General features: G+C 46.2%; 1 protein-coding gene across 3 annotated transcripts in view, besides 6 other annotated features; it reads left to right on the plus strand.

The window, feature by feature from the left end:
• ZNRF1 (zinc and ring finger 1) overlaps window positions 1–14,595 on the plus strand; it is a 111,971-nt gene that overhangs the window by 67,366 nt on the left and 30,010 nt on the right. The window lies entirely within an intron of this gene.
• Window positions 8,447–8,947: an enhancer, noted in NCBI's record as "H3K4me1 hESC enhancer chr16:75108734-75109234 (GRCh37/hg19 assembly coordinates)". NCBI's record gives its function as "activates a minimal SCP1, AML or CMV promoter by ChIP-STARR-seq in naive H9 embryonic stem cells {active_cell/tissue: H9 hESC(naive)}" and the evidence as "EXISTENCE:reporter gene assay evidence [ECO:0000049][PMID:30033119]".
• Window positions 8,948–9,448: an enhancer, noted in NCBI's record as "H3K4me1 hESC enhancer chr16:75109235-75109735 (GRCh37/hg19 assembly coordinates)". NCBI's record gives its function as "activates a minimal SCP1, AML or CMV promoter by ChIP-STARR-seq in naive H9 embryonic stem cells {active_cell/tissue: H9 hESC(naive)}" and the evidence as "EXISTENCE:reporter gene assay evidence [ECO:0000049][PMID:30033119]".
• Window positions 8,948–9,527: a biological region, named in NCBI's record as "H3K4me1 hESC enhancer GRCh37_chr16:75109235-75109735".
• Window positions 9,298–9,527: an enhancer, noted in NCBI's record as "active region_11118". NCBI's record gives its function as "activates an Ori minimal core promoter by ATAC-STARR-seq in GM12878 lymphoblastoid cells {active_cell/tissue: GM12878}" and the evidence as "EXISTENCE:reporter gene assay evidence [ECO:0000049][PMID:35858748]".
• Window positions 12,713–12,914: a silencer, noted in NCBI's record as "fragment chr16:75113000-75113201 (GRCh37/hg19 assembly coordinates)". NCBI's record gives its function as "represses an EF-1alpha promoter that drives an FKBP-Casp9 reporter gene in an ReSE screen in K562 erythroleukemia cells {active_cell/tissue: K562}" and the evidence as "EXISTENCE:reporter gene assay evidence [ECO:0000049][PMID:32094911]".
• Window positions 13,650–14,195: an enhancer, noted in NCBI's record as "H3K27ac-H3K4me1 hESC enhancer chr16:75113937-75114482 (GRCh37/hg19 assembly coordinates)". NCBI's record gives its function as "activates a minimal SCP1, AML or CMV promoter by ChIP-STARR-seq in primed H9 embryonic stem cells {active_cell/tissue: H9 hESC(primed)}" and the evidence as "EXISTENCE:reporter gene assay evidence [ECO:0000049][PMID:30033119]".

Here is a 14,595-nt window from a genome sequence, read left to right on the forward strand (position 1 = left end):
AAATTCGATGAGTTCAGTACCATTTTATGTTTAACATTCTCAATAAAATATTGATGAAGGGATATTTAATTTGATTTTTAAATCCTGTACCAAAAATCTACAGCAAACATTATATTCAATGGAAGATTTTTTTGAGACAGTTTTGCTCGGTCACCTAGGCTGCAGTGCAGTGGCGCGATGTCAGGTTACCGCAACCTCCACTTTCCGGGTTCAAGCAATTCTCCTGTCTCAGCCTCCTGAGTAGTTGGGATTACAGGCATGCGCCACCATGCCCGGCTAATTTTTTGTATTTTTAGTAGAGATGGGGTTTCACCATGTTGACCAGGCTGGTCTCGAACTCCCAACCTCAGGTGATCCGCCCACCTTGGCCTCCCAAAGTGCTAGGATTACAGATGTGAGCCACCACCCCTAGCCTAGATCTAGTATTATAAAATGATAATCTTCCTTTCTCGTTGACTTAGAAATTCAGGGCTATTTCAGTAACTGTGGGGTAACAAATTACCCCAAAACTTAATAGCTTAAAACAGTAATAATCATTATCTCTCACAGTTTTTGTGAACCAAGCATTTGAGAGCAGCTCTGCCAAGCGTTTTTGGCTTTTGAAGCCTCTCTTGAGGTTGCAGTCAGATGGTGGCTGTGGCTGCGACCATCTCAAAGGCTTTTCACTCACATACCTGTTGCCTGGTCTGGGAAGACTCAAGCAGTTTGGGGCTGGGACAGCTGCAGTTCTCCGTCATCTGTTTATGTGTACATTTTCCATGTGATCTCTCCAATGTGGTGCCTTCTGGGTTACTGCACTAAGTATAGGTTGACTCAGGGCTCCCACAGCGCTTGTCCCAAAAGAGAACCAAGTAGAAGCCATTTTGCCTTTCTGACTGCCCCTTGGAAGTCACACAGCATCTGCCACATTCCGTTGGTTGAGGCAGGTGGGAAGGTCACTCTAGGTACAAGAGAACATAGACCCCATGTCTCGATAGAGGAGTGTTAATATCACTTTGTAAGAAGGTCATGTGGGATGAGATATATATTGGTGCTATCTTTGGAAAATACAGTCTGCTACAAGTAAAACCCGTTCAGAATTCTAATTGGATTTTTTGAAGAAATCTTATTTTTAAATGCATTTGGATTACCTAAGTTAAACTTCAGAAAGAAGAGAAAAGGGAACTTTTAAGCTTCTAAGCCATAGTACTAAAAGCAAATGATGTCTGCGCAAAAACAGGTAATAGACAAATGAAATAGAATAATGATCTCAGAGAAAGACCCATATACATACGGGAATTTAATATACGATAAAGGGGCACCATGAATCAATGGGAGAAGGATGGATTGCTTAATAGATAATGTTAGGAGAATTGACTAATTAAAATGGAGAAACATTAACTGGATCTGCACAGACTATCATACACAATGGTAGACTCTAGAAGGGCTAAAGACCTAAATGAGAATGGTAACACCACAAAATTAATACGTCTCTTATCTACAAATCTGAAATCCAGAACACTCTGAAAATTAAATGCTTTTTCTTAACCCACATGGCAGCAAAACTTGAGCTGAGGTGAAGCTATTTATAATCATGTATTTATCCTGCTTAATGTGAATATCCTATAATTCACTGCAGTTTTAAAAAACTATTATTATAAAAACTTTCAAACATTCAGAAAAATTTAAAAATAGTATTAGAGGGCCAGGCATGGTGGCTCATGCCTGTAATCCAAGCATTTGGGGAGGCTTAGGTGGGAGTATCACTTGAGGCCAGGAATTCAAGACCAACCTGGTGAAAAAGAGCGAGACCTTGTCTTAAAAAAAAAAAAAAAAAAAAAAAAAATTAGCTGGGCATGATTGCATGCACCTGTAGTCTCAGCTACTCCAGAGACTGAGATGGGAGGATTGCTTAAGCCCTGGAGGTTGAAGCTGCAGTGAACTGTGATCACACCACTGTACTCCATCCTGGTTGACAGAGCAAGACCCTGTCTCAAAAAAATCATGAACCAGTTAACCCTGGCCTGGCCAGGGTCTCAGTTTGCGGGGGGCACAAGCAGTGGAGCAGCTGTGCTGCTGTGGCCAATCCCTTTCTCCCACAGCAGAGTCGGGAGTGGCACTCTGATCCATATCTACTGCTCCTTTTTCACGGATTGTCTACTTGATTGGTTTTGCCTATTAAAGCCAAATTCAAATATTTGTCCAAAAAGCTACAGACCCAGTGATCCTGCTATATAGCAGGACCTTTGGAGGAAGACTACCCCAGGTGTGTGTGAGGGCCTCCGAGACCAGCTGCTGCAGTGGATGAGCAGGGCTGGGGCTGGCCCTGGGGTCTAGCATCTGTGCAACAAGCTCCTCACCACTTCTGCAGCCACGCAGGTCCACCACCTCTAAGGCACAAAGTGAAATCGCCCTGATCCATGCTTAAAATTTGGCCCTGGTAGCCAAGGCCCGAGAACACACTTCCCTTTTCACCCAACATCTATTCCCTTACTTGTCTGAGTCTTTTTTTTTTTCTCCCTCTTCTGTGAAATGGGCCAGAAGTTCCTCACTCAGTTATTTTGGGAGCATTAAAAAATTCGAGGGTCCCACCCCCTCCTCCCTCTCTTCATTCAGAAAATGGATGGAATCAAGCTGATGCCCGAAGAACACCAAAGGGACCCAAGAAAGTCAGAAAAATGGTACTTTCTGCTGCTCTTTAGCCAAAGGGGTGAACAGCGTTAATTGGCTCATCGTTTTAAAGATCTGAGTTGTTCAACCAAAGTTAGGAGATAATCTTTCAGTGGCACTATTGCCTTTTCAGAAAAGAAAAAAAAAAGGAAGGCAAGAAGAGTTGCTTTGCACATAGACATCTCCAGTATGGGAACATCATTTGTTTGGCAGGGGGGTTATTTTTTCCTCTTACCCTGCTGTAAATATTCTTCACTGCTCTCTTATATTTCCTGTATCCACCATCTTTGCCCAGGTGTTTAACTCTGTTCCCTTAAATGGTTTCCCCTCAGGCTTAGTCTTGGATCTTTGTACATTCTCCTGGAGTGGGCTTATCTGGGCTTTTGTTTTTTTGAGACAGAGTCTTGCTCTATTGCCCAGGCTGGAGTACAGTGGCGCGATCTCGGCTCACTGCAACCTCCACCTCCTGGGTTCAAGCAATTCTTCTGCCTTAGCCTCTCGAGTAGCTGGAACTACAGGTGGGTGCCCCCATGCCCAGCTAATTTTTGTATTTTTAGTAGAGATGGGGTTTTGCCATATTGTCCAGGCTGGTCTCAAACTCCTGACCTCGTGATCCACCCGCCTCGGCCTCCCAAAGTGCTGGGATTACAGGCGTGAGCCATTGTGCATGGCCTCATCTGGACTTTTTAAAACTGTTTGTACCCTAATCCATATCTCCAGTCCAGATCTTCCCCCTGGGCCTCGGCCCCTCACACCAGATAAACCAGCTATCTCCACTTACATGTTTCTCACATTCCTAGAACTTGGTATGCCCCAAACTGTATCATCATCTTCACCCCTGCCCCCTTTCTAGCAGCCCATTCCCCTTGTAGAGTTCATGTCTCCACAAAAACCACCATTTACCCAGTTGCCCAAGCGAGCTGCTTGAGTATCATTAACTTCTACACCCCTAAATCTCTGACTTCTAAGCTAATAACATGTCCAAGAGAGTAAACCCTTTAAAAATCCTTTTAATCCATACACTTTCTGCCAGAGCCAGGCAGAAAATATAAGGGGATGCCAAAAAAACTCAGTAATCAAGACAAATAATTGTTCAGAGTCGGGTTGACCAGATGTCCCTTCTGGATTCTAAGTCCAGCAGATGGCCCATTGGGCAGCCAGCCCACTGGCCCCAGGAGCATAGGGACCTTCATGTTTGGCAGGGCAGCAGGGCCGCCTAGCCCAGGCCGGCCTCTCCATTCACACCACCGATAGCCTGAATGACTGCAGTAACTCCCCACTGCTCTGCAAGCTTTTCGACTCCTCCCAATCCATTTACTGCACCATGGCCAAAGTAATATTTCTGAAATATAAGCCACCTCTGAACTGTTCAACAGTTCTGCAGTGTTTCTGGAATGATGCACCTAAACCCTCAATGGACCTTGCCCCCGATCCTGCTTTCCTCTTTAGCATCCACATCCACATTTTTTTGCAACTCTGTCAGCATTTTTTAAAAGGAAACCTATTTATTGCAGTTTACTCTCCATACAAAGGAGTGCTTATATTACATCATAAGCATACATCCTGATGCATTCACAAACTAAGTACCTCTGTGTACTGACATCCTAGGAACCCTCCCCCAACCCCGCCCACCATACCCCTTCCCAGTTGCAGCTCCCATGGAGGTACTGCTTTCCTGACTTGTAACAGCGTGGACTTGCCTTGCCTGTTTTGTATCTTAAGTAGATCGGATCAGATAGTGATCCTCGTGCACTCATGTGTCTGCTTCCTTCATTCACATCATGTGTGGGAGCCGCCCATCTTGTTGTGTAGGGTTGTAGAGTTTTCGTCACCTTGCTATAATAGTTTTCCATTATGTGAATAAACTATGCTTTATCCATTTGTTCTCATACTGGTGCTGCATAACAAAATACCCCCAAACTCGATCACCTACAACAACTATTTATTATGCCCATGGACTATGTGGGTCAGGTATTGTATTTGCATAGGGCACAGCAGAAGCAGCTAGTCTATGATGTCTGGGACCTCAGCTGAAAACTAGAAGGTCAGGCACAGGTGTCTTTTTTTTTTTTTTCTTTTGAGACTGAGTCTTGCTCTGTCACGCAGGCTGGAGTGCAGTGGTGCAATCTTGGCTCACTGCAACCTCCGCCTCCCGGGTTCAAGTGATTCTTCTGCCTCAGCCTCCGAAGTAGCTGGGATTACAGCCACCCACCACCACACCTGGCTAATTTTTGTATTTTTAGTAGAGACAGGGTTTCGCCATGTTGGCCTGGCTGGTCTCGAACTCCTGACCTCAAGCGATCTGCCCACCTTGGCCTCCCAATTACGGGTGTGAACCACCGTACCTGGCCACAGGTACCTTTTGATGGCTCATTCCCTCACGTGTCTGGTTCTCCACAGAGACCTCAGCAAGGGCCGTCAATCCAAATGCTGATGGTGGCCTCTCTATGTGGCCTGGGCTTCCTCACAGCATGGTGGCAAGCTTCCAAGGGTGAGGGTCTTGAAATAGGCAGTGGCTGCATCTTTTGTGTGACTTAGCCTTACAAGTCATAGCATTTTGGCCGTACTCTGGGTCAGAACAGTCCCAGGCCCACACAGGTTCAAGGGCAGGGAAAACAGACTCCAGTGCTTGATGAAGGGTGGCAAGATTCTGGAAGTGCATGTGGGACGGAAATAGTCCTGGGGCTGTTTGGGGAAAATACAATCTACTATACCCATGAGCTGCTGATAGGTGTCTACCTTTCTGATCCAACCACATCATTATTCTTCCAGTTCTTTGAAACAATAATCTCCCTGTCACCCCGGGGCCTTTGCACATGATGCCCCCTCGACCTGCAACTCTTTCCTTTTCACCCCTGACTCCTGCACCTAGGGTACCCCTTGTCTGCCTGGCTAGCTTTTGCTTATCTTTTATTTTTTATTATTTTTGAGATAAGGTCTTTCCAGCTGGAGTGCAGTGGCATGATCATGGCTTACTTCAGCCTCAACCTCCTGAGCTCAATCAGTCCTCCCACTTCAGCCTCCCGAATAGCTGGGACTACAAAGTGCATGCCGCCACGCCCAGTTAATTTTTTTTTTTTAATTATCAGATACATGGTATGCAGTCAGATTTTTTGTAGAAATGGGTTTCACTGTGTTGCCCTGGCTGGTCTCGAACCCCTGGACTCAAGCAGTCCTCCTGCCTCAGCCTCCCAAAGTGCTGGGATTACAGGTATGAGCCACCATGCCTGGCCTGCTTATCTTTTAGTCTCAGCCTAAGCTTTCCTTCTTAAAAGAATGCTTTCCTCACATCACTGTCACCCCAACCCACTGGCCCCAAAATGGCAGTGCAGGCCCCACTCCTAGTTACTTTTGGGACCTTGCCTTGTCCCTGTCGTAATGCTGATCACAAGGTAGTGCTCTGGCTTGTTTACTTGTCTGGATCCCTCATCAGAGTTTAAGCTTCAGGAAGGAGCTTAAACTGCCCCTTGTACTGTTCAGTGTCCAGTCCAGTGCCTGACACAGAGTAACCTGCAGTTAATTGGAGAAAGTGGATTCAGCCTTCAGTGTCCACCCACTAGAGACAGTAACGTATGCACAAAATTAAGCATTAACACAGTTTAGAACATAGGATTAGCTATGTTGTAGTATACACAAACACATACACACTTGTGCAAGTGTCAAGTGTTAGAGCAGGAAGCAATTTTAGGTGTAGATTGTCCCATTGAACCCCTCCTTTTGCAAGTAAGAAATGTAAACAGAGCTGTGACATGGCTCACCCAATTGGAAGCAGGTGGCCCTGTGACCAGCAATCCCAGGCCCTCACTGTGAGGGAGGCATTACAATGAAGGCCTCCATTTGAGCCCCTCCAGCTTCCCCTCTGAGATGCAGATACTGTGTTGGTGTAGTGATGGGCCCCAGTGCTACTGTTCATCACACTCAACCGGTTATCTAGTTAGTGAAAGAAAGCATTTAAAAAATTGAGGGGCCAGGCAGGTACAGTAGCTCACGCCTGTAATCCCATACTTTGGGAGGCCAAGGTGGGAGGAATGCTTGAGCCCAAGAGTTGGAGACCAACCTGGGTAACATAGTGAGACCCCATCTCTCTCTCTCTCTCTCTCTCTCTCTCTCTCTCTGTCTCTCTGTCTATATATATGTATATATATATACACACATAGATATGTATACGTATCTATATACATAGATTTATATACATAAATATAAAATTGAGGCAAGATTTTTTTTTTCACAATTGTTGATTGCTTGCTAGTTTTTATTAATAGCTGTTGTTTTTCCTTTCTTTTTAGACCTCCCTCCAGTGCATGGTGTTGAGTTAATGCTATTACATGTTTGACACACTATTGCTGGTCTCACTGGTCTTGGCCAGGCTGCTGTCTTGGTTTTATTCATTCATACATTGATCTGTTTTTTAATTCCTGTTGTCCATTCCCCACCCCGCCGTAGCCAACCATGTCAATATGTTTGGTGTATTGGTTTAATTTTTCATTTCTGTGCATACATGGGTTTTGTTAATCTAAGGTTTTAGTTGTGTGCATGTGTTTTTAACTTAGGTAAAATGGCACAAATGGCCTGGTGCTACGGATTCTTTTGTTTCTTTTTTTCTCTCAGCACTGTTTTTGGATCTGTCCGACGTGCACATTTAATCCATTGCTTGTGGCTGCTGCATAGTATTCATCATGTACATGCTCTGCGGGGACCTTGCCCGTTCCCCTGGGGATCATCTGCTACCCGACATGGTTCTGTGGCCAACATCCTCGTGCTGTATTCTGATTGACCTGTGTGAGGATTTCGCTAGGAAATATACCCAGAAATAGGGTTGCCGGATCATAGACTAGGGAACTTTCCGGTTCACTTCTGAGGACTCAGAAAACATGATTATGTCCCTTTTCTCTTGCTATTTTCTCGTAAATGTCAGGAAGGTAGGTTGCTTAAAATACCCTAACTTTCAGCCTGGCTCTAGAATCTTGCAGTGCTACCACCCGGAGAGCAGAGATAAAGATTGGGATTTTATTCTCTGTGGGTCAGTTTGAGGTTTGCATTTTTTCACTTGGAATGATTGAAACTCGTGCTGCTCCTTCCGCGTGCATGTGTAAAACGAGCCACAGACTGCTAGTCTGTTCTGCTCTCCTGCTGTCCGTGACCGTTGCTAGACCTCCTGTATGGAGGCAGTGTGGTGCCATGGAAGGAGGCGATGCAGTAGAGTCAGGCCGGCATAAGTGGCTTCTCTGCATGTGTGTCAGCCCCATCCCTAAGCTGGGGTCATGCCACCCGGTGAGGCTCCATATGCCAGCATGTAGCACAGAGCCTACTGGGTGACCCTTCCAACAGCCCCTTGAGAGGAGAGGGCACAGTGCTGCATAAGTTGGTGTCTAAAGGGTGTGGAGTTGTATTTAAGCCTTTACTATCACATTGTGAATATTTATGGGTGGATTTATTTCGTGTCTGGAATTTTCTTCAAAATAATCTGGTGCAGGGAGAGTGAGTTGGGATAAAGATCAGATGACCATATAATTTATCATTCAATCCCAGGCAAGTTTGAAACTGAAAGAGGGAGCTATTAATTACACCAAGACGACACGCTTGAACTGGGGTTGTTGCAGCAAACCAAGACATGGACACCTCAGGGGAAAATCAGATAGGACTGACCCTGATTTGATCATTGTTGAAGCTGGGTGATGAGTACCTGGGAGCTCACTCTATTCAATTTTTTTGTTTGTCTGAAAATTTCCATAATAAAGGTTTTTTTAGGCCCAGTGCAGTGGCTCATGCCTATAATCCCAGCTCTTTAGGAGGCCTGGGCAGGAGGATCACTTGAAGCCAGGACTTGGAGGCCAGCCTGGGCAACATAACAAGGCCCTGTCTCTATAAAAAGTAATAATAATAAAATATTGAATAAATGTATTAAGGAAATGTTTGTATCAGAGTGCAGAAGCACCCAAAAGTTCGCACTGTCCAGGAAATGGCTGTTGAGTACTTTGCCAACCCCTGCCTGGGGTCATAAGCCCAGGTCACCATGCTGTCTGCTTTTCCCCCCTATCTCTGGGCACTTCCAGGTGGGGGTGGGTGGGAGGGAGTAAATGGAGAGGCTCCTCCTACTCTTCATTGTTGGTGGGAGGAATGAGAACCTGGAGGCTGTCCTAGCTGTCTGTGACTTGATTTAGCATAGGGGGAAAGGGCTGACCTTTTTCCTGCCAGCAGTACTGTCAAGGCCTGCCCAGGTGGCAGCCGAAGTAGCTCCCTTCATGCCCACTGCACACCACAGCATGGTGGCAGGGGCGCCTGCAGTCTGTGCACATGCACACATGATCGTTCTCTGCACCCCTTATCGGAACTGCGGGTTGGGCAGGAAGCAGCATGACCGCAGTGGGTTCCTAACCGACATTCTGTCTCACACACGCTTCACTGTCCTACTTAACCCTCGCTGTGGTATGGCAGTTACTGGAACCTTGACTGGTAGAAGGTAGCCTCTGCTGGGAATGGACTCAGACAGCAGGCTGACTGCCCTTAATTTGTTATCTCTTTCCGGTTGTACAGCTGGGCCTTTTTCACACATTTCCGTGAAGTGTGATGTTCATTCATCCAACAGATATTTTCAAGAGCCCATCATATGCCAGGCTCTAGGGCTACAGCAGTAAAATAAACAGACTCTGCCTTCAAGGGGCTTATACTGTAAGGGGGCCACAGACAGCAGGTGCAGCAAAGGTGGAGGAGGAGGGTCACCTTTCTCACATGGCTGCTGAGTGCTCAGGAATCGATGTTAGGATGCTGTCATGTGGAGATCATTGGCAACCGTGGAAAGGATGGTTTTAGAGATTGGAGCAGGTTCAAGAGGAACTGGGAGAGGAAGTGAAGATGGCCATTGGAGATGCTTCATTGGAACTGGGGCAGTTGCTGCAGGTGTAGGTGGGATTGAGAGAGCGTTGTGTGAGGTAGAGAATAGCTTACATATGTGGACTCAGGAGAGAGGAAAAATATGCTTAACAGAACTTGTTCTGAATGGCCCTTTTGTATGCCATAGCAAATATCAAACAACCCTGATCATGAGATATAGAGCCCTGGAGGGCCTGATTCAGTTTTCTTCTTCCTTCAGAGTCCCATCTTCTCCATACTAAAAGTAAATCACAAATATTTGGATTGTTATTGACATATCTATTATATGTTTTAATCTTCTATCTATAATCTTTCTCTTGTTATATAAATGGTTCTGAACTTTTGGGTTCTAAGCCCAAACACTTTTGACATCTAACTCTATGAATCTCCCTTAGAATGTGGCATCTTATTTCAGGAGGCTGATGGATCCGCTGATGTCCATCCCCATAGGTTTCAGGTCAAGAGCCTGTGTGTGGGACACATTCGCTAGACAGCCACTTCGGGATGTGAAAGAAATGAGAGCTCTGTGGCCTCCTCTTTTCTTCTCTTCCCTAATGGGTCATCCCTTCACTGAGGGGAGAAATTATATTTGTTTTGCCATTTTCCTTACAACTTAATAACTAGAATACATATGAATGGATAGACAGACTGACTGACTTGATTGCTTATCCTATTTAAGTGTGGCACATTCAGTCCATAGCACATGGCATCCTCTCTTGGGGCACAGTTTTCAATGGTTTCCCAAGAGAGGATGCCATGTGCTACGGACTGAATGTGTTTTATCCCCCTCCTCCCCCAAAATTCATGTGTTGAAGCCTAATCCCTAATGTGATGGTATTTGAAGGAGGACTTTTGGGAGATAAGTGAGTTTAGAAGAGGTCGTGAGTGTGGTGCCTTTATGATGGAATTATTAGTGCCCCCAGAAGAAGAAGAGACACCAGCGCTTTCTCTCCAGCATGTGAGACACAGCAAGATGGTGGACCTTTGCAAATCAGGGAGAGGCCCTCACCACACATCAGACCTGGCAGCACCTTGATCTTGGGCTTCTCAACCTCCAGAGCCATGAGAGATAAATGTTTATTGTTTAAGCCGTCCAGTCTGCAGTATTTTGTTACAGCAGCTCAAACTGACTAAGATATCCTGCTTCATAATTTTCAGCAGAGCCAGGGAACCCCAGCTACTCTCCTTTAAGAGTTGATCCAGGCCGGGCATGGTGGCTCGTGCCTGTAATCTCAGCACTTTGGGAGGCCAAGGTGGGCGGACCACGAGGTCAGGAGATCGAGACCGTCCTGGCCAACATGGTGAAACCCCATCTGTACTGAAAATACAAAAAATTAGCTGGGGCTGGGCGCGGTGGCTCACGCCTGTAATCCCATCACTTTGGGAGGCTGAGGCAGGCGGATCACCTGAGGTCGGGAGTTTGAGACCAGCCTGACCAACATGTACAAACCCCGTCTCTACTAAAAATACAAAATTAGCCAGGCGTGGTGGTGTATGCCTGTAGTCCCAGCTATTCGGGAGGCCGAGGCAGGAGAATTGCTCGAACCTGGGAGACAGAGGTTGCGGTGAGCCAAGACCGCACCACTGCACTCCAGCCTGGCGACAGAGCGAGATTCCGTCTCAAAAAAACAAACAAAAAAAGAGTTGATTTTTTAGAAGAACAGCCATTTCTCTTAGAAGGTTTTACATTCATTTCCTGTTGTTGCTGTAGCAAATATCCACAAATTTGACAACACAAATGTATTTTCTTGCATTTTTGGAGATGAGAAATCTGCATTGGTCTCGCTGGGCTGAAATCAAGGTGTCTGCAGTGCTGTGCTGCTTCTGGAGGCTCTAGGGGAGAATCCATTTCCTTGTCTTTCCCAGCTCCTGGAGGCCACGCTTTCCTTGGCTCATGGTCCCTTCCTCTAACTTCAAAGCTAATGGCAAAGCATCTTCAAATCTCTGTCTGTCTGCTTCCATAGTCATGTCTTCTTCTCTGCCTCTCTCTTTCCATAATAAAGATGCTGTGATTACATCGGACCCACCTGAATAAGGTTCTGTATTCATCACATCTGCCAAGTGCTTTTCGCCATGTAAGGTAAACATTCACAGGTTCTGGGGATTCGGAGGTGGACATGTTTGGGGAGCCATTATTCTGCCTACCACACCTTTATACAACTGGTTGCACACATGTTCCCATGTAATGGCTAGGGTGGTAACATGATTTCTGTTTTACAGTTGAGAAAATGGAAGTTCACGGAGGTTCAGGAAATTGCCCTTGGTCACATAACTTGTGCGTGGAGAAGTCAGCACTTGAATGCTGTAGCTCTGAGCCCAGATCTCTGTTTTTCCATTATATCTGGCTGCTTGTTTTTTTAATTCTCTTCCATACATTTCTTTCTTTCCTTTTTTTTTTTTTTTTTTTTTTGACAGAGTCTCGCTCTGTTGCCCAGGCTGGAGTGCAATGGCGCAATCTCTGCTTACTGCAACCTCCGCCCCCCAGGTTCAAGTGATTCTCCTGCCTCAGCCTCCCGAATAGCTGGGATTACAAGCACACATCACCATGCCCGGCTAACTTTTGTATTTTTAGTAGAGATGGGGTTTCACCACGTTGGTCAGGCTGGTCTCGAACTCCCAACCTCATGTGATCCACCAGCCTCTGCCTCCCAAAGTGCTGGGATTACAGGCGTGAGCCACCACGCCTGGCCACACATTTCAATAAGTGGTATTTGTCAATATTTATGTTTCTGATGCCAATATTCTGGGAAGTTGAAGTGCTGACTTGAGAGAATGTTACAATCAATGTAAAGTTAGTCTTCAAGGTGAAAAGTCAAAATGAAGAAGGAATTGCCCATTTATGTGGTCCTCTTCTTTCATAAACATTTGTTTGTGAGGACCAATACAGATATTGCTTCCTGGCTTAACATTTCTGTCCACTGACATATACTTGGTTTTAATGTTATGTCATATCACACATCTTTTGCTTGCTAGCCAGATTTCTTGTTATCCTTAGGAGATCCTTAACTTTCTTAACCTTGGAACTGTTATTATGAATCAAGATTTACAAGGTATGTCCATGTTCCTGCTACCATGTTGGAGCCTCCTCCATGCCTTACTCCCAACCTTCTCCTTCTCCCATTCTTATCTACCCGGTTCAAGTAACCTGAACCAGAGGCAAAGAAAAGCAATATGGTAGCATACTTTACATGCCTTGAGTAGAAGTCATTCACTATTTTAGGGAGCTTAGAATTCATGGTCCTTCTCGTTCGTGCTTTCTGTCTGGAGAGTCTCTAGAAAACTGCTTTTGGGGGCCGGGCGCGGTGGCTCATGCCTGTAATCCCAACTCTTTGGTAGGCTGAGGCGGGCGGATCACAAGGTCAAAAGATCAAGACCATCCTGGCCAACATGGTGAAACCCCGTCTCTACTAAAAATACAAAAATTCGCTGGGCATGGTGGCACACGCCTATAGTCCCAGCTACTCGGGAGGCTGAGGCAAGAGAATCACTTGAACCAGGGAAGCAGAGGTTGCGGGGAGCCGAGATCATGTCACTGCACTCCAGCCTGGCAACAGAGCAAGAGTCCGTCTCAAAAACAAAAACAAGAAACCTCCTTTTGACCCATCGGTCAGGCCCTCACAGCTGTCTAGAGTCTTTGCATGTCTTTCTCTGTGGTCACCATAGCCCTGGGTGAGAGAAAAGCAAGGACTGAAGTATGAAGGCCTTCTCTCACCCTTATCCTTCCCTTGGATAGGATTGATCACTGCACTGCTGTTTACCTTTTGGAACAACTCCATTCTACTCTTTTGGCTTCTTCCTCTTAGATGCCATTTCAAAACACAGTTGTGGCCTACTGGACTGTGCCCTCTGGGTTCCAGCCTCCATCTACCTGTGTTGGAGGTGCAGCTGAACAGAGGATGCCCTGATGACAGGGTACCAGGACTGGGTCCAAGGCAGGAAGGTAGCCTGTAGTGTAGCTGCGTGCCAGGACCCCAGCCTGAGTTGATGGTGTTTTTGTTTTTTGTTTTTTGTTTTTTCTGTTTTTTGAGACGGAGTCTCACTCTGCCGCTCAGGCTGGAGTGCAGTGGCGCGAGCTTGGCTCGCTGCAACCTCCACCTCCCGGGTTCAAGCGATTCTCCTGCTTCAGCCTCCCAAGTAGCTGGGATTATAGGCACCCGCCACCATGCCTGGCTAATTTTTGTATACTTAGTAGAGATGGGGTTTCACTATGTTGGCAAAGCTGGTCTCGAACTCCTGACCTGAGGTGATCTGCCCACCTTGGCCTCCCAAAGTGCTGGGATTATAGGCATGAGCCACCGTGCCTGGCTGAGCTGATGGTTTTGATGAAATGAATACAGCAGCACACATTCTGCATCCCAGGATTATGCTGGGAGCCGTGGAAGGAGCCTTCTCACAGACCTCCAGTGACAGAAAGGCTGGGCTGTTGGCATCAACTGATGTAAGTTATACAGTGCAAGGCAAATGGTTTTATTCCATATGAGCAGTCACTTACATGTGAGTGTCTGTTCGCTGGTGAGTCAGATGCTGTGCTGAACATGATCTAATAGTATGTTCAGGCATTTTCTTTCTTGCTGGCAAAAAATTCCTATCAGCCAGTAGGGTGGACAGTAGGGTAGACAGTGCCTTTAGGAGCCCAGAAATCAACTATTGGTCCTGTATAGATTCTCTGTGAAAGTTTCCTTCATTGTCCTTTTCCCTTCCCTAACTGTTTTTCCCCTTTTCCCCTCCAAACACCTCCCCCAACCCCACACACACTCCATAAAAAAGGGAAGTTAGTTGGAGGTTGGAATTTCTAATTACATCAATAAAGACTCCAGCTGGGCATGGTGGCGCACTGGCCTGTAAGTCCCAGCTACTTGAGGGGCTGAGGTAGGAGGATTGCTTGAGCCTGGGAGGTGGAGGTTGCAATGAGCCAAGATCCCACTACTGCACTCCAGCCTGGGCAACAGAGAGAGACCCTGTCTCTTAAAAAATAAAAATGAGGGCCGGGTGCAGTGGCTCACACCTGTAATCCCAGTACTTTGGGAGGCCAAGGTGGGCGGATCACCAGGTCAGGAGTTCGAGACCAGCCTGGCC

The sequence above is a fragment of the Homo sapiens genome, chromosome 16 (genome assembly GCF_000001405.40).
Source record: "Homo sapiens chromosome 16, GRCh38.p14 Primary Assembly".
Classification (NCBI taxonomy): domain Eukaryota; kingdom Metazoa; phylum Chordata; class Mammalia; order Primates; family Hominidae; genus Homo; species Homo sapiens.